Genomic DNA, 20069 nt, shown 5'->3' with positions numbered 1-20069 from the left:
CTGTGGCTCCACAGCATTAGGGAAATAGACAGCTGGACGGCTGTGGCTCCACAGCATTAGGGAAATAGACAGCTGGACGGCTGTGGCTCCACAGCATTAGGGAAATAGACAGCTGGATGGCTGTGGCTCCACAGCATTGGGGAAATAGACAGCTGGACAGCTGTGGCTCCGCAGCATTAGGGAAGAAGAGGTGGTGGCAAGGAGATGGCTGTGGTAATTTTTATTTCATATTATATAGGTCAGTGCTTTGAGAACACTTTCATTCAATATTTTTATCCCCACATATTTTCGAACAAAGTTTAAGGACTCTGGAAGTCATATCACAAAGAAGAGGCATGCAGAACATGGCAAGAATACTATAGTTTTCATTTGTGTCCGTGTATGTAGGAAAGATTAAGAAAAAAGTGCACAAATGGGCACTTGGCATAGAAAGAATTTTTACAAAGACCTGGGCGTTAGAGGAAAGGCAACAGCATCCAAAAATAATCCTCTATACCTATAATCACTACAAATAATAAGTGGTAGCTGTGAAAATCTTCCATCAGAAGTAGAGTCATTAATGCCTATAAAAGAGATGAGAAGCATCTGGAGATTTGGGTAGAAGCTGAAGACAAATAGCCTCCCTGAAAAGCTCAGGTGATCACAAATAATTCACTTAACAAATATTTATTAAGCATCAAATGAGTTTAAGGCACCAAAGATGAAATACTAATGGAGCTTATAGAGCTTATAAGGGAAATAAGACATTTTCATACATACTGTATTACAACTCAAAACTGTTGAATAAGCAAACACTATGTCCTAGAATTCCTCTAGATACTAAAATCAGATTCATTAAAAAAGACAGTCCCTGTCCCCAAAGCACTGACACTCCAGATAGGGAGACAAGCAATGCATATAAAATGATGTGCAAACCATATAAAACATTTTAAGCAAATATCTTAATCAAATAGTACAGCAAGTAAATGCTCTCTGAATTTTGAAAATGAAGACTTATAGTCTAAGATGATGGGGTTTAGGGAGGTTGGGAATAGATGAAGCTAAGAAACTGAGGTAATCCTTGAAAGGTGACTAGAATTAGGATACAAGGAATGACAGGGTGAGGGAACTCAGAGTCAAAAACACAACACACAGAGAAGACAATCAAGAGAGTGACTTGAAGATGAAGAGTCTGCTCATGATTGAGTCATAAAAGTTACATTTCGGCTGGGCACGGTGGCTCATGCCTGTAATCCCAACACTTTGGGAGGCTGAGGCGGGCGGATCACGAAGTCAGGAGATCGAGACCATCCTGGCTAACAAGGTGAAACCTACTAAAAATACAAAAAATTAGCCGAGCGTGGTGGTGAGCGCCTGTAGTTGCAGCTACTCGGGAGGCTGAGGCAGTAGAATGGCATGAACCTGGGAGGCGGAGCTTGCAGTGAGCCGAGATCGAGCCGCTGCACTCCAGCCAGGGTGACAGAGCGAGACTCCGACTCAAAAAAAAAAAAAAAAAAAAAAAAGTTACATTTCGAGAGAGGATGAGGAAAGATTTTTTGAGTGTCTTGAATCCTGTTCCAGAACTATGTGTTCTCAAAATGTGTTTGTCAGGCACATTGGCATGTGGCATTACATCAACCATGTACAAAACCAAGTTGATCCACTTAACCCTAAGGGTAGGTCCTACCACCACAGAAATGACCACAACCTAGGTTTCCTGCCAAGCCTCTCTTCCCCAAGCTAGGAATGCAATTCCTTCATCTAATTCCAAGAGCTCAAGATTCCAAGGACACAATAATTAACACAGAGCAGAGGAAAATACAAAACTTAAACATCAGCAGGGTAGATGCTGAAATCCTGAGCAGCTGTGTCACAGTGTGCTTAGAAGTAACTCATTAAAGCATCTTTTTTCTCAGCTATTCTTAGTGGTTCTATGCAACTTTGAAAATTGGATCTCTCTGCCTCCTTTTTCACAATTTTACAATACAGAGAAGAAAAACACTCAACTCTTTTGCAAACTGAAAAAGGAATATGCTTACATTTCTTCCCATTCCACAATAACTCAGAGGCAGCTAATGAGATTTTCTTTCCTTCCTTGTGCTCCCAGAAGCCATCCATTCTCTACCAGACAGGGTCTAGCCACAAAAATTCCCAAAAAATTTACAGTTTTTCAGACAGCTAGGAGAGGGATGAAAATGGTTTAGTAATGGGAGTTGCCATAAAACTTATAATTACAGAATTTGCTACAGTGAATACCATAATGGAATGTTTGTTTAAATCAAATAACCATTGACTCTCTCTGAAGATGAATGATTATTCTATATCCCATTTTCCCCAAATGTACTAAGAGAGCATTTTTACACAACAATGGTTCTTCTATCTTTCTTTGCCACACCAGTGGGAATGGCTACAGCAAGTCACCTCCCCTTTACTCAGGAACCCCATGCAAACAGCTAAGCCTAGCAGTGGCCAGCAATATAACTAATCCATTCTCATAAGACCTTCAAGATGAGCAGACATGTCATCTAACAGACACAGCAAGGGCAGGCCAAGGAAAAAACCACTCTAGCCCTGTGTGACCTTGATATAATCTACCTTTGTCAGCCTTAGTTTTTGCATCTGTAAAGTCAAGGGGTTGACTTACTGCATCTCTAAGATCTGAATCCTCTAACATTCCATGATTTTAAATCAGAAGGAAAACTAGGCTTAGAATAACTAATTGGTACTAGGCTTACTACCTAGTGGTGATGAAATAATCTGTATAACAAATCCCCATGACCCAAGTTTACCTACGTAACAAACCTGCACATGGACCCCTGAACTTAAAGGTTAAAAAAAAGAAAGAAAACTAGTCTCAGGATTAAGCTCATACTCACGTCCTCAACAAAGCAGGCTCCACATAATTTATCCCCTGAAGAACCTGCACCAAATTCCTTGATGAAGAAGTTCATGAAGGAGGCAGAAGGATTTTCCTCTCAAAATCTCTCCTTTTCCTTCTCTTGCTTATTCTATATTCTAGCTGGTGTTGGGAATGCACTTTGCAGCTTGAAGCCATTTATGAAAAGAGTAAGAATCATTTTCATTCTCCTTCCTATTGTTGGCCAAGTATGAATTGTCCCCACAGGACAAGGGGAATCGAGAGGATTAATTAATCTTTCTGAAGTGCTTTGAAGAAGAGGAATGCCATGCATAGTACTAAGCAGAATTACTACTAGGCCCATTTTCACACCAAAGAAAAGCCCCAGAATAAGAACACATTTCAAGATTTAAAATAACAGGCCAGGTGTGGTGGCCCATGCCTGTAATCCCAGCACTTTGGGAGACGGAGGTGGGCAGACCACCTGAGGTCAAGAGTTCCAGACCAGGGTGGTCGACATGACAAAAGCCCATCTCTACTAAAAAATAGAGAAATTAGCCAGATGTGGAGTGTGCCTGCAATCCCAGCTACTCAGGAGGCTGAGGCACGAGAATTGCTTGAACCCAGGAGGCAGAGGTTGCAGTAAAGCAAGATCGCTCCACTGCACTCCAGCCTGGGTGACAGAGTGAGACTCTTGTTTCAGGGGAAAAAAAAAAAAAAGATTTAAAAAACAGTACAGTAAACAAAAGCAGGGAGTCGGGGAAGTCAGAGTGGGGTGATTCTATTTTGCTTTGTTTGGAAAGCAGGGAAACCCAACAAAGGAAAACAGGACATTAATCAAAAAGATCCACAAGAAAGCTCTGGAAAGTACACGTGTTTTGAAAGAGAAAAAGGGGAAAGATAAGGATGGAGGGACCTGAGTCTGCAGATTAAAACCCCATCCTGTGAAGGAGAAGTATTTGGGAGCCAGCTCTTTCACTGGAGGCATGTGAAAGACAACTTTGTGTCCCATTCTCCAAGACCTTCTGTAAATCTCTCTTTCAAAGAGAAATCTATTCCCACAGACAAGCTATGCTGTAACCTGCAACAGAGAAGGAGACTTCTACAGTGAGTTCATCACTCAGGTCTTGGGAAGAATTTTACACCACTGGAAAAACCCCAACCCCATGATAACCAAGAAACTCACACTACTTTCTGCAGGGTGAGTACAACTTTTCATAACAAAAACACTTAAATCTTGGGCAAACTGACATAGAGAACTGAGGCACTTATTCTACCAATTCAGACCGAGCAACAAAACACTGGCTTTCTTCCTGGGTGTAAGAAAAGGCCTGGGGCTAGCACTGTTCCTTACTATATGAGGTACAGTTTCACCTTCTGCAGTTCATAGATTGTCAAATGCCCCTACCATGTGAGCTAAAATTCTGGTCAATGCTGTTGTTAAACATGTAGAGGACCAGGTCTCAGCAACACACTCAGAATCATCCCTCAGAGCAGCCTCTGCTATTCCAGATCTTTGTTTTGCAAAGAAGATTGTAAATTCCTACTTCTTCAATGCATTTCATCAAGTATTGGTGGATGGTCCACAAAAAATTCTAAGTAATCACATACTCTGTGAATGCTAATGTCTGTCAATCAACTAAAGTTCTTCCATGATCAAAAACAAACAAACAAAAAAGGGAGTCCATGTAAACACAACATGAAAAATGAGTTAGACAATTTAACGATCTATGGTCCCCTTTGCGTGACACACATTGAAGAATTGTTGCTGTCTAGGATAGAAAGAAGCAGAGAAAAAACCCAGGTCCTCCCTGTCTTGACTTGTAGCTTTATAACCTTGGAGAAGTTATTTAACCATCCTAAGACATGGGGATGTGGAAATCTGCAAAGTGGAAATTATAATATCTACCCCATGAAGTTGTGATTAAATGGAATTAGGCATGAACTTAGCCCAGTACTTCCACTCAGGTGTTTGTTTTTATTACTATGTGAATTTTTAATTTATTTTATTTTTATTTATTTATTTTATTTATTTATTTTATTTATTTATTTATTTTATTTATTTTAATTTATTTTTAATTCTATCTATAGAATAGATAGATATCTATAGAATAGATAGATAGAATTATCTATAGAATAGATAGATAGATATTTACGGAAAAAATATGAAAATGTAGTTCCAATCCCGTTAACACAACTGTTTCTTATTTTTCCATGTTGTCTTCTAATTTTTATCTTTAAATATACATACATTATACATTTATATATAAATGCAACCTTTTTATATTATGTTATAACTTAAATTATACTATAAACACTTTTTCATTCTGTTTCATAGTCTCTGTTATTACAGTACGTAGAGATTCTATGATGTTCATCAGGTTGGCACAACATACGTTAATAACAAGTTCCTCCACTGGGAATGGTGATTGAGTAGTAGAGAGACACTAAACTTGGAGCCTCAAGACCTGGATTTCTCATTTTCTCTTTCAAAGCACATGTGCTTTGCTGTGGATCTTTTTGAGTAGTGCCCTATCTCCTGGTTGAATTTCTCTGCTTCCAAAATAAACAAAACTTTCCAAACTCTACCACTCACTTAGGTCTGAAACCTTAAAGAAATCACACTATCTTTCTAAGCCCATTTCCTTATTTATAAACTATGAGAGAAAAACAATAAAGCCAGCTACCTTGGAGGATTGTTTTTGAGATGAAATGAAATAATATGTGTGAAAAGTCCTTGTAAACTATAAATTACTACACCACATATGTTTAAAAAAATACATCAATGTATTTTATAACTTTCTCTTTCTTTTAAGTGATTTCCTTGATATAATTTCCCAAGAAGAAGGAATTACTGTGTCCAAGAGTATGTCTTTTTTTTTGTTTGTTTGTTTTTGAGATGGAGTCTAGCTCTGTTGCCCAGGCTGGAGTGCAGTGGCACAATCTTTGCTCGCTGCAACCTCCGCCTCCTGGGTTGAAGCGATTCTCCCACCTCAGGTTCCTAAGTAGCTGGGATTACAGGCGTGCGCCACCACACCCAACTAATTTTTGTGTTTTTAGTAGAGACAGGGTTTCATCACATTGGCCAAGCTGCTCTTGAACTCCTGATCTCAAGTGATCTGCCTGCCTCAGCCTCCCAAAGTGCTGCGATTACAAGCATGAGCCACCACGCCCAGCCCAAGAATATGTCCATTTTAATGTCTCGTGATAGGTACAGCTACATTACCTAAAGCAGGAAGGGGAGCTTGAAAACAAATGGATAAAGATAAGCTCAATCCATTACTCCAGCACTCTCAAGAACCATGGCACAAACACAGAGCTATGTGTGTGTATATGTATCAGATGCATACACACATGGATGTGAAAATGATATGTGTGTGTATGTGTATATAGAATATATAATGGTTTGTTTTGAAGAGTGTCAAACCTGACACTAGAGAGTTGGACATGAAAACAGGAATGCAAGTAAAACCTTTCTGTTTATTTTATTTTTATTTTTACTAGTACTATTAATATCCATCCGCAAGTCATGGTTTAAAAAAAAAAAAAAAGCACGGGAAAACCAGCCTTTGCCATTCAAAAAGAAAAGCCTTTGAATGCAAGTGGATGCTCAAACCTTGCCCTGGCACATGCTTGTCCACCACATCTGCTGCTCCTCTGTGCTGGAGGGGATGGGCACCACAAGGGAGAAGAAAATGGGAAACTTCCAAGGACAGGCTTCAGAACATGGTCCCTTAGACAGGATGAAAATGAAGAAAAATGAGATGTACTGGCTCAGCTCATCTGTGGCCAGAAATACTCCATTCAGCTCAATGCACCTCACTTTTTATACCCTTTCTCCTTTTTTTAATCACCCCTTAATAAAAGCTCCTTTGAAAATGTTCAGTCTCCTCTCTGGGGTGGGTGGGGAGAGCTGAGGGGTAATGGGGCTGTGTCCTCCCCGGATGATACTGGGCTGACAGGCTGGTGCATGCCAAGTGGCTGGATATGCAGTGGCAGCTGCTGTATAAGGGCTCTTGGCAAGCCAAGAGTCTATGGGGTACTAGCCCATCTAGAAGGACAGATATCTGAGGCTGGTGTCCCCTTTGTGTTGGGAAGCAGTAACAGGCAGAGAGCACCCAGACCCACAGCAAAGGTCATCAGTTGCCATCAAAACCGATCTCATGAACTCTCATCTAAATCACTTTATCATACATATATACTAAATCAGAGGGACAGAGAACCAACACCAAACCACTGTGACCTCTGGCCTAGAGAACAGTCTTTTCAATCTGAGCCTCATTCATGTACCTAGCAACACCTAATTCTCCTTACTTCATGGAGTTTGGCAGTAGTTCACGGCCTCCTCCTAATGAAGAGGAAGTCCCATGGATGCCAGAGCAGACAAGATGCACTTTGAATCTCAGCTTCACTTGGGAAACCTGGGACAAGTTCCTTAATTCTCCTGTCCCTTAGGTTCCCGATATTTTAAAATGAGCTAATTCAAACCTCCCTCACCCGTCCCCTTAAACAATCAAAGTTACATTACTAAACACATTTTCTAAAACCAGCAATTGAAGCCTACAAATGCAATGTCTGTTTTACATTAACACTTAAAAGATCTGCAGGCTCATACATATTAAGTAAACAGCATAATAACAGAATTTGGGCTTTCATTGTTCTTTCCACGAAATACTTAATTTAATTTAGTGGCATCGTGGACACAAGGAGTCAAGCTCTGGTCTCAATTACTAAAATGCAACTCTCAAATGTACAGAGAGGATCTTCTGAAAGCTACTTTGATTCCAAAATGCAACAGCCCAGAACATCATCTCACCATGTTTACAATAAAAATCAGAGAGACTATGAAGAAATTGTTCATATAAATTGATTTTTTTCCAGAGAATGGCTGCAGCAATACCACAAGGAGAGTTTTCATGACCTAGTTCATATCCTGTACGGCTTTCAATTCGGTGGAGTTATCAAAATCCTTATCCCCCTACCTTCCTTCTTTTATCCCAGACATGTGCATATAAAAGGCAGACGATATAAATAAAGGTCGAGCTAATCTCTGAGTTCCATAGTCCATCCTTACAGATCAATGTCCTTAAACCATCTGAAAGCTACAGAAATCTCTCTGTTCCCGTCTTGGTTCCTATCATATTATTAAAGCATTGTACAAATGTCTCAGTCAAATTTTGTATCCCATTAATTGTGGATAGAAAATTCTGGCCAATGAAGCGAGAGTGGAAGTCTGCAAGAGAAGGATCTAGGAAGGCATTTGCATTTCCCAGTAAAAGTTTATGTCAACCCTTCCTCTTTATCCTTCCTCTTTTGCCCTTCTTTCCTCTCTCTTGTCCCTTCCTGGAATGGTTACATGGCTACTGGAGCTGTCGCAGCTATCTTGCAACCATGAGAAAAGAACCAGGAAAATTAAAGAGATATGAGCCTTAACATCAATAAGCCACTGAACTAAAGCTGAGAAATGCTACCTCTCAGCTTCTTGTTATGTGAAAAATAAATGAATCTCCATTTGCTTAAGTCTTTATATTTGGGTGTTCTATTATATCCAATTGGACAAAATGCAAACTGATATACCTGACAACTTTTCTTTCCCTCAAGATGATTTTAGAGCAGGCTGTCTTTTTTATAGCTCCACTGGAGAGGCATTCACTCTTACACAGGCTCTAATTACACCAGGCCTCAGAGCATGACAGCAGCCCCCTCTCCATAACCCCAGTTTCCGTAGATCTTGACCATCAACAAACACGTGTCACATAAACATACACACAAATAACACTACCAACCTGTGTCACATAAATACACATGCAAACTTACCAGCAAATAACCCATGTCTGTTCAAGCTAAATTAGAAAAATCAGTCAAAACAGTATCAGCAGCCTACAAGATGTACTTTATTTAGGGTGAAACATGTATCATCAACTTAGAGAGAAAGAGAGAGCCAGGCACAGTGGCTCACACCTGTAATCCCAGCACTTTGGGAGGCTGAGCTGGGTGGATCACGAGGTCAGGAGTTCGAGCCAGCTTGGCCAACATGGTGAAACCCCTCTCTACTAAAAATAGAAAAATTAGCCGGGCATGGTGGTGCACGCCTGTAATCCCAGCTACTTGGGAGGCTGAGGCAGGAGAAGTGCTCGAACCCGGGAGGCAGAGGTTTCAGTGAGCCAAGATCGCACCACTGCACTCCAGCCTGGGTGATGGAGCAAGACTCCATCTCAAAAAAAAAAAAAAAAAAAAAAAAGAGAGAGAGAAAGAGAAAGGCAAAGAAGAGAGAATGACAGAGTAACAGAAATACCTATCAAACTGCTATCATTATCTTAATAATTAATAGGCACCATAACTGAATACAATCTTTGTTCTTTATAAAGTTGATGAGTAAGGTGCCAGAAATAAAAATATTTGTGTTATCTCTTTACTGCATGTGTACCACTAGGATCATCCCCTCCTTCTTCCTCCTTAGCGTCTTCTCTCTCCCTTTCCTTCCCCTCTTCTTCTTTCCCCAATCAGGAATACAGAGAAAAACCCATCCTCTCGAATATCCCAGCTTCTTTATGATATTCATCCACACAGAGTCCTAGAATTTTTTAGTCTTATAATCCAAACTTTAATGAATTTAAGAATCCCCTGTAACCCCCTCTTGAAATGTGATCACTCTACCTCTGCTTGAATAATTTCTGCCTGTTGCTATCATGGCAGCCAAATGCCACTGTTTTACAGCTCTCCTTGCTAGAAAAAATTTCCCTGAGTTAAAGTTGGCTTTGTAACTGCCTCCAATCTCTCTTAATGACCACTAGAATGACACATTATAGCCTTTTGTTGCATGACAGGCCTTTAAGATACCTTTAAAATTATTGCTAAAAGTCTCATTTTCTTTCAGTTCCACAATTTGGCTATCTACAGCTTAAGCATAGCCCTGGGAACTAGATGAGATAATGCAAATAAAGCATCACCAAGATACACTAGGAGGACTTTGTATAAGTTCACCCCATGTCCCCACTTGTATCTGGGATATGTCACTTAGGTTAAATTCCAGGCTTAATTTTCCTGAAATACATATATGAATTTTTCTCTATAGATAAGTCTGTTCTTCCTTACTTTGCTTACCAGTTAAAAACTGTTAAGAATACAAGAGTCTATACATGTGATAAAATTGCTTGGAACTATACACGCATACACAAATAAGTGAATATAAAAACTGCTGAGTCATGGATAAGATCCGTAGCATGTAAAAATGTCGATTTTCTGATTTTAACATTGTATTGTAGTTACAGAGGATGTTACCATTGAAGAAATCTAGATGAAAGGGGATTTCTGTACCCTTTTTGCAAATCTCTGCAAGTCTATCAGAATTTAAATTTTTTAAAATTAAATATTGTTGAGTAAGCCAGAAAGAACCTAAGACCACACTGGCTTTCTTGCTTTTCCTAGTATACCATTAACTCACTATGAACTAAAATTTTGTTGAAGTTGTTATTTATATGAATTTCTGGTATTCCAGGACTTCCCATCTGTTCTTGTATACTTGAACTGTAAAAAAATACAAATATTTGATTTATCTCTTTTAAATTTGACTTGTTTTATTTTTAAACTCAGTGTTTTGGCCTGTCAAGATCTTCTTAAATCTTGATTATGTTATCCAGGGAATTAAATATCACACCTTGACCTTTCTGCTATCTGAAAATAGGCGAATTATACCTTTTATCTTCATCAAGGCCGAGGGAATCCAAGCTGACAAGGATCCATTAATCAGCACTCTTCATGTACATTTATAGTTTGCATTATTGAGTAAATTATAAAGACACTTTGATGTATATCATCATCCAACCCTCATTTCTCCATTTTACTCTCAAGGATATCATGGAAAATTTTACAAAACACGTGGATGATGTCCTCCGAAATGTTTTTGTGCATTTCCCTAATCTACAAATCTAAAAACCCCATTTAGATTTTTAAAATAATGAGCTCAGAAGCCACAAAAGAAAAGGACAATAAAGTTGACTACATTTTTTTAATAAATGTGACAAAACAAAAAGTCATAAGCAAAGTTGAGGACAAATCACAAACTGGAAAAATATTTGCAACATATGAGATCAAAAGACAATGTTATTTAATTTATAAATATTATTTATGTAATAAAAAGTTAAGCAACATAGAAATGAACAAAGGTTATGAAGAAGAGTTCAGGAAAATAAAAACATGAATGGTGGACAAATTTTTGAAGCAATGCTTAACCTTATTAATGAATAAATGCAAATCAAAACATAGAAATATGATTTTCCCTTATTAGATTTCCAAACACAAAACAAAAAATGTTAAAGCCTCATAGTGGCAACGCTGAGAAAAAACAAGCATTCTCTTCTGCTGCTGGCAAGATGTGTGTACATACCCCTAGGGTCTCTTTTTATGTTGTTCCAGTTTCCTTGTCTTACAACGATACCAGTCAGATTGAATTAGGGCCCACCCTAATGGCCTCATTTTAACTTCATCACATCTCTAAATGCCCTGTCTCCAAACATAGTCACATTGAGGTACTGGGAATTAGGGCTTATGATGGTTAATTTTATGTGTCAACTTGACTGGGTTAAGGGTTGCCCAAATAGCTGGGAAATCATTATTTCCAGGTGTGTCTATGAGGATGTTTTGAGTCAGTGGACTGAGCAAAGAAGATCACCTTCACCAATGTGGGTGGGCATCATCCAAGCCACTGAAGGCCTGAATAGAGCAAAAAGACAGAGAAAGGGCAAATTCACTCTCTCTTCTTTTTGAGCTGGGACACCCATCTTCTCCTGCCCTTGGACATTGGAGCTCCTGATTCTTGGGCCTTTGGACCCCAGAGCTTACACCAGTGTCCCCCTCCACCCCCAGGTCTCAGGTCTTTGGCCTTAGACTAGAAGTTACATTGTTGGCTTCCCTGGATCTCAGGACATGAGACTCAGACTCAGTGACACCACTGGCTTTCCTGGTTCTCCTGCTTACAGATGGTAGATTGTGGGATTTCTTGGCTTCCATAGTCATGTAAGCCAATTCCTATACTAAATCTCTTTTTTTATAAATATTTTTATGTATACACACATATGTAAGATATATATGAAATCCATATTATATATACACACATTTATATAATTTATATATATCTATATTCTATATATACCACGTGTGTGTATATACACACATATATACATATAAATGTGTGTATATTTAAGTATCACATATATCACCAATTGTGTGTGTATGATATATTATATATAATATATACACACCATATAATATGTAATATATTATGTATACATATACAAGCATATATACATATATTAAACTATATATTACATATAAACATATATATTAGGTATTATGTATATATATAATATGTATATATAAACATACTGGATATGTTTATGTATATATTATATATAATATATACATATATACATATATATGTATATGTATTATATATTATATATGTATTATATATGTATATATACATATATGTATGTATACATATAATATATGTATGTATACATATATACATACATATATATGTATATATTATATAATACATGTATATATTATATATAATACATGTGCATATTATATATAATACATGTACATATATAATACACGTTCATATTCTATATAATACATGTTCATATTATATATAATGCACGTACATATATAATACATTATATATAATATGTACATGTATTATATATAATATGTACATGTATTATATATATACATGTATTATATATAAAATATGTACATGTATTATATATACATGTATTATATATAATATGTACATGTATTATATATAATATATACATATATACATATATAATATATATACATATATAATATGTATGTATATATGTATATATAATATACATATATAATATATACAATGTATACATATACACATATACATATATGTATATATTATATACACATATTTACATATACATATATACATATATGTATATATTATATATACATATTTACATATACATATATAATATACTTACATAATATAGACATATGTATATATTGTATACAGGTATATATTATATATATTACATGTATTACATATAATATACATGTATATAATATATACATATATGTACATATATAGGTATATATTATATATAATATATATGTACATATATGTATATACTGTATATATTATATATACATATGTGTATATACTGTATATATTATATATACATATATGTGTATATATACAATATACACATATATGTATGTATTATATATACATATATACAATATATACATATATAATATGTACATGTATGTATATATTGTATATGTGTTATATGTATATATTATACATGTATGTGTGTATATATTTTATATATGTATATCATATATGTATATCATACACACACACAATTGGTTCTGTTTCTTTGGAGAATCCTGACTAATAAAGGGCTTTAACATACAAATTTGGGGGGACATACACCCATAAGACCATCAGTACCAGAGATGTTCACAGGAGGCAGGGTCATTGGAAGGACACCCCCAGGAAAGGCCTCAGAAGCAGGAGAGAATGGCCATGCAGGACAGCGGGTGGTGTTACATACATGGAAGGGAAGGGTGGTCATGGCAGCCAAGGGAAGAAACATGACCAGAGCCCCAGAGCAAAAGGTTGCAAGATGAGCTTGTGGGCTAACAAGAAAGTAGAGTTTCTGAAACCAAAGAGTAACCTGAAGGAATGGGAGGGAAGCAGATTCCAAAATTTTGGGAGACCTGGCTGAAGGGTTTAGCTTTGAAGTGACAGCCCAATAGGGAAGTGGTCAAGAATTCTGGGAAGGAGAAAGCATGAATGAAATTGCTCATTTGGGAAGATTTCTCTAGAACTGGTACTGGGTGGTGGTCAGCAGTTCACACAGAGGAGACATGAAAGAGAGTGAGACAGAAGCGTCTTTACTGACAACGAATCAGGACACACAGAAACAAGATACTTGCTCAGGAGGAAATAAGCAAACAAGGAGCATTAGAGGAGCAAAGTCACTCACTCCCATCACTCCAGGCTTCCCCAAGACCGTCGCAGCATTTTCCTGAGTCTCTTGCAGGTGTGAATTCAATTTTAATAAATATTGGTTTCTCCAGAGTTTTGAGATCATTGATAATGGCAAAAATGTTGCCTGGGAAGTTTAAATTCTACGTAACATCATTATTATTGCCATGGCTTTTGTTAAAAAAAAAATCATCCAAATCATGAGAGAGAAACAAAAGGTTGATATCTGCCCCTCCAAAACACAGAGAAACATACAAATTATATTTCCCTGTTTCCAACCCCTAGCCCCGACTCCCCAGCACCACCATTGCAACTTCCTGTTCATGAGCAATTTCTGTTTAAATTGAGATCCCATTGGGCAAAAAGCCTGATTCTAATTCTGCTCTCTGACAATGCCCAATGCTATTGATGATGCAGAATTGATGTTGAAATAGTAGTGATAATAGTAATTATTCCTGCATGCCATACTCAGTACTGATCACACCACCATCCACAATGAAATAAAAACAGGCACATGCATCCAGGACATCCCCATCTCCCCAGACAGCTCCAAGGAGGCTGCCAGATGATAGAGAAAAGCTGTGCCCTTCCTCTCCAGGACAACTGCTGCCTTCCAAGTGGTAGAAATTAATTCAATAGCTCCCAGGACGGCTTCGACAGGTGATTCTTCTAAGAATGGACCATTGTCAGAGGTGCATGGAGTGGCCTCGCTTTTGCATTTTGAAAGAAAGCATGTACTCAGAACAGCAGAGGTGTCAGTAATGTGAAACTGAATTGCCTGAATTGTCTGGGAGTGCCAAGAACCACAGCAAGGTCAGAGCTAGGTCAGCACTAGCATCCAGCTTCCTGCGCGGGGAGTCTCTGCACGCATCTCTTTGGTACAAGTCTGCGGCAGTAGCCCTGCTGAGGATACTCTTCATCCTGGTGCCATAGTGCTCCCAAAGCCTTCCAGGAAAGCAAGATGGCAGGGTAGTCCAAAAGGCAGGCTCTGCAGCGAGATGGTCTGAGTTCACGTCCTTGCTCTTGGTGTGTGGCCTTGAGAGTGGGACTTTACATTTATCTCAGTGATTTGAAATCCTGAATCTGCCCTTCAACGTAGGGTTGGCAGCCTTGTGAAGCTGGGCAGATCAACTGACTTTATCTACAAGTTGATGATGATGCCTACATCACAAGGTTGTCGTAGGTTCTAAGTGAGATAATGCACACAGCACACTCCTCCACCCCCGACGTGATAAATCCTCAATAGGCAATAGAAAGTTTACCTCTGTTATGCCTCTTATCACATCGTATTTTAGTTATCTGGCATGTTTCTATTCTTCCCATGAGTGTTTCTTTAAACAAAAATGTGGGTGCCTCCAGTTTCCAGGGCTACATTTTATTAATAGGTGCATCCCAGCACCTAGCACAGTAGAAGCCTCTCAGTTGGCAATAAACACATATTTGGGGAAATAATGAGCAGTCAAATCATTGAGGCTGATCAGACTAGAAAGGGAAAACAGGAAATAATCATTTATCTCACAAATATAAAGGAAGGGCTTTTATTTGGAGGGGAAGTCAGCTAACTATGGGATGTCCAAAGGAAAACCAGGATTAGAGATGCAGAGTGGCAAGGAAATTAAGATCTGTATAAGGAATAACTTTCTTAGGATTAGACAGGTGGAGAGGGAGGAGCGGCTGCCTTCAAATGTGGCCACTGTGGAGGGATGGGACTCTGCCCGGATGCCCTCCCATCAGGATGGGAGTGCTGCTGCCTGAGCATGGAACGGTGAAGCCAACGCCACCGGATAGTGGGGGATAACGAGCCTGTAAGGGAGCAGTAGCAGCAGGCAGATAATTTTGTATTCACTACTACAGCGCAGTGTTCCAGGAGTGTGCCAGAAGAGATCGTGGGTTCTACCTTTCCCCTCTCAGACTCCAAACTCCACACACACACACACACACACACACATACACACACACACAAAGAAGAGAAGAGAAGCTCTGGGAAAAATTTTCTTCCTATTTCACAGCAAAGATTTATTTTTAATGCCCCCATGTGGGAAATGAGCACTGAGCCGGGACGGGCTACCCAGGGGAGAACACAAATGCGCCAAGGCATTAGAAAGACTCTCCAAGGAGACAGATCCTTGGGAAAGCATTGCCCTCGGTGTGTTGCCAAAGCCAGTCTCCCTGTCTGCCAAGACAGTGCAACTCCCACGGGCTGGAGCTGCCCCAGGAGCCAGAGAAAGCCAGCCATGAAGGACGTCTGCCCAGACAGATAAGTGACAGTCAAGGAATTCTGGCCACCCTCATTCTCACATGAGCCTCGCAGGCTCCAGGGCTGTGTTCAGGGTGACCAGGATCCAGGGCTGTGCCCAGGGTGACCAGGCTGCAGGGCTGTGCTCTGGGGCCAAGCAACCTCGCACTGACTCACCACAGCTGGAGCTTTAACCGGCTCTTTGCACCCCCCTGTTTTTACTCACAGGCTCTGAACTCACCGACCTCAAGAGCAGGTAGTTTTCTAGGCTGCCAGTGGATGCTAATTATAGCCAGGCCAAGCAGAGCGGCTGCTGGGTCACACCTGTGCTGTTACTGCAGTTTCCCATGACTAGAGATTCTTAGCTGTTAGTTAAGGACAAAGTTGCCCAGGGTCAGCAGCTGAGAGCACAGGTGCCTGGGGCCACCACTGACACAGCCGCTCACCCTTCTCTCTGCCACTGCTGGCCTTGGTCTCCTCTTTGTTTTTCTTGCCTTCTCTCTTCTTTCTTTCCCTGCCCCACACCCTCTTTCCTTCTCCTTTTGCTCTCTTCCCTCCTTTAGCCATTCCCATCTGCCTTGAGACAGCAGATTTCCTGGTAATATTTTGACTAGGAGGTGGCTCACTTCCACTTGCAAGATCACATTTTTATTTAAAAAATTCATTATGCACCTGGCATGTGCCAGGCACTGTGCATTTCTATGCTGTGTGTTCGGTTGTGTGTGGAGGTGTGGGTGTGGGTGTGGGTTTCCCAAAATTCTGCCAGAGGAGTATGTTCCATAGATTTTGCTTTCCTCAAGTACTTTTTACTCTCATGCCTAGAATCACTCAACATGAACATTATTCACATTCTTTATCTTTCCAGAATAGCCTCCCAAAACACAGCACTGCACCTGCAGCCTGGACCCCTCCCCTCCTCAAGAACTGTGCTCCTGCAGTGATAGCTTCTCCCTCCTGAATCATCATCTATCTCTGGTCTTGATTCTTCCTGTCAACCTATGCGCATGCTTTAGGGTGACAAGTTGACAAGGGGTGAACATGTGGACTTAATTTTAGGTGTCAAATTGATCACAGAAGAAGTGAAAACATGGGCAAAAAATACAAGAAGTCTGCCCTCCAAATTATTGAGTCATGTACAACTTCTGCCCCTTGACACAAAGTGTCATGCTTGCCTTTCTAGAATGCCCTTTGTCATAGAATAAAAAGAATTTGACAAGCTCAGTGACATTGAGATTCCTCCAGTGTTCCAAAACACATTAAATAGCGAACTATTCTTGACTGGGGATTTGACTAATGAAGAAGATACACTACTTATATTTACCACTAAATATAACATGAAAAAAACTAGCTCATGCTTCAATTTGGCTAATGGATGGCACTTTGAAAATTGTCCCCACTGATTTTTTTTTTATCATCTATATACAATTCATGCAAAAGATTCTAAAATTTATCCACTCAATTATGTTTTAATGGCTGGGAAAAGTGAAGCACTTACAAATGCTTATTTGCAGATCGGGTGGACTTTGCAGAAGAAAATAGATTTCAAGGGAATTTCAAGATGTTACCAATAAAGATGTTTTTTTCATTCAGCCCAATGCATCTGACAGAAAATTTAGATGAGTGGCTTGGCCATGACATACAGCAACAACAGAAACTTCAGTTTAAAAATTTGCCATTTGCCTGCATTGGCATTTCTTCCAGCTGATGACATTACAAAAACTTTTAATGAATTAAAGCTGCATTTGCCTGGAGAAGCCAGCAAAGTTAATGAATGGTTGAAAAATAATTAAGTGCATGGTAAGATAAGAAGGCACTTACATAATGGCGTTCCCTTCAAACACCAGTATTGTTTCTGCCAAATGTGTGGTATGTATATGAGTGCGTGAGGAATGGATTTCCACACACCCAAAACAACATCGAGGCATGGCACAGAAGATGGGAAATTTTAATATGGAATGTTCATGTTGTTGTATGTCAAATCACAAGAGAATTTCAAAAAGAACAACATCGTGTAGAAAATGAATGTGAACATATTCTCCAATGAGAGCCATGGTCTAAAAGGAAAAAAGCATCTATTCATTATGATGCAAGACTTCAAAATATAGTTAACGATCATGAAAATTGGCCAGCTCTTATGATGGACTATCTTGATGAAATTACCCATAATCTATTCCTGTAATACACTTTTTCATATATTGATTTTTTTTCCATTTGGGTTTTTTTCTTTTTTTCTTTTTTAGTTTTGGTTTTGTTTGTTTGTTTTTGAGATAGAGTTTCACTCTCATTGCCCAGGCTGGAGTGCAATGGTGCAATATTGGCTTACCACCACCTCTGCCTCCTGGGTTCAAACGATTCTACTGCCTCAGCCTCCTGAGTAGCTGGGATTACAGGCATGCGCCACCATGCCCAACTAATTTTGTAATTTTTTTAGTAGAGCTGGGGTTTCAGCATGTTGGCTAGGCTCTTTTAAATTGACAGCATTATGTTTTACCATTCGCTATCCTATCTTTGCATCATTTCCAACTCTGGAGGTATAGGTTGTGTAGAGGCTTTTAGAGAGTTCGAATTCATTTAATGCATTTTTTACAAATTTGACTCCATGAAATTATCACATTATCACACTGTTGACTTTGTGTGTAAGCATTGTGCACTACGCATAATTTAAAACACTGAAACTTTCTCAATAAATTAAGAGATGTCCTTTTTGTACATCTGCATTTGTGAAAGATAAAATTTCACAAGATTTCAGCTCTTTAGGTGACTGCATGTTCTGTGGTAACCCATCAAGGTTTTTGACCGATCTTGTCAAAAAATTTAGGTTGTTTGTCATGGTATTTCAGATGACCACAGTTATAAATCTGGGTACACACAATTCCAACCATAGTCATATGCATGTCTACATTTCCCTTTTGACCTATTTCTTTTTTAATATAGTTCATCTACTTATAACTATTATGCCCATGCAACTGCCATTAACACACTTGAGTGTTTATGCTTGCAAAAATATGTATAGTGTCACCTCATTAATTGTGTAAAGTGGGCTGTGAAATATCCTGTCATGTTTTTATGTTTCTTAAATAAACCCCCTTTTCTAAATGTAAATAAATCTCTTAAAGATTTTTTTTCCAGAATTAAATTTTAAGGATTTTTATCTTTTCGGATTTCAACATCCAGAATTATGGTGTTCTGAATTAGAATCAGCTTCCTTTGTCAGGTAGTTTCATACTTAATATTGGCCATCTGTGTTTAGTGTATATCATCACATAGTTAGAAGATGAATGGAGCTGATGGTTGAGATGGCTGAGCAAAACTTCAGTTGTCTTTTATTTCATATGCATGGGATTTGTGCCTGTAAATCAAAACTTTCTGCCTTCTTCTTCCACTTAGCAGTGTGTGCTGGCCTGCAAAACATAGATTTATATTTGAAGTTCTTACAACGTGTCCAAATAATCATATGCCATTAGTTTTTTTATTAGCTCACAAAAATAACAAATATTTATAAAGAATTATTTATGTGGTAGACTGATTAAAGAGACCAATACATTCTAAGATTAAAATTTTAGAACAAATAAGACTTAGAGCAATTATTTCCCCAGAAAGGGACACAAGCCAAAATTATGAGAAAAAAAAAAAAAGGCAGGTAAAGTGTAAAACCATTCATTAATGACGCATTCTCTCTGAGTAATTAAGAGTTCCATTTAGTATGGGGGCACTCCCAATCTTTGAATCTGACAGCCTGGAGGCCGACTACTTCTCACAGTGCTTCACTGTGGGTCCCCATGGGACAGAAATCTAAACTTAGGTAGAACATAAGGGATATTCATGGACCCGTCCAGGACAAGACTTCATCCATCTCAAACTTGTGTCTTTGTACCTTAGGGAGAGCTAAAGCTTGGCCATCTGTGCCCCATCAAGGAAGGGTGACAACTGGTGTGAAGTAGAATGAAAAACTGTCCTTGTTACAC

At 38.7% G+C, this 20069-nt stretch overlaps 1 long non-coding RNA gene across 2 annotated transcripts in view, besides 2 other annotated features; it reads right to left on the bottom strand.

Moving 5' to 3' along the window:
- LINC01630 (long intergenic non-protein coding RNA 1630) overlaps nt 1–20069 on the bottom strand; it is a 170428-nt gene that overhangs the window by 98639 nt on the left and 51720 nt on the right. The gene's annotated exons all lie outside the window — the stretch shown is intronic.
- Nucleotides 16319–16378: an enhancer, noted in NCBI's record as "active region_13333". NCBI's record gives its function as "activates an Ori minimal core promoter by ATAC-STARR-seq in GM12878 lymphoblastoid cells {active_cell/tissue: GM12878}" and the evidence as "EXISTENCE:reporter gene assay evidence [ECO:0000049][PMID:35858748]".
- Nucleotides 16509–16558: an enhancer, noted in NCBI's record as "active region_13332". NCBI's record gives its function as "activates an Ori minimal core promoter by ATAC-STARR-seq in GM12878 lymphoblastoid cells {active_cell/tissue: GM12878}" and the evidence as "EXISTENCE:reporter gene assay evidence [ECO:0000049][PMID:35858748]".

Source organism: Homo sapiens, chromosome 18, assembly GCF_000001405.40.
Source record: "Homo sapiens chromosome 18, GRCh38.p14 Primary Assembly".
Lineage (NCBI taxonomy): Eukaryota > Metazoa > Chordata > Mammalia > Primates > Hominidae > Homo > Homo sapiens.
Note: the sequence above shows the minus strand (reverse complement) of the source record. Positions and strands in the feature narration are given on the sequence as shown.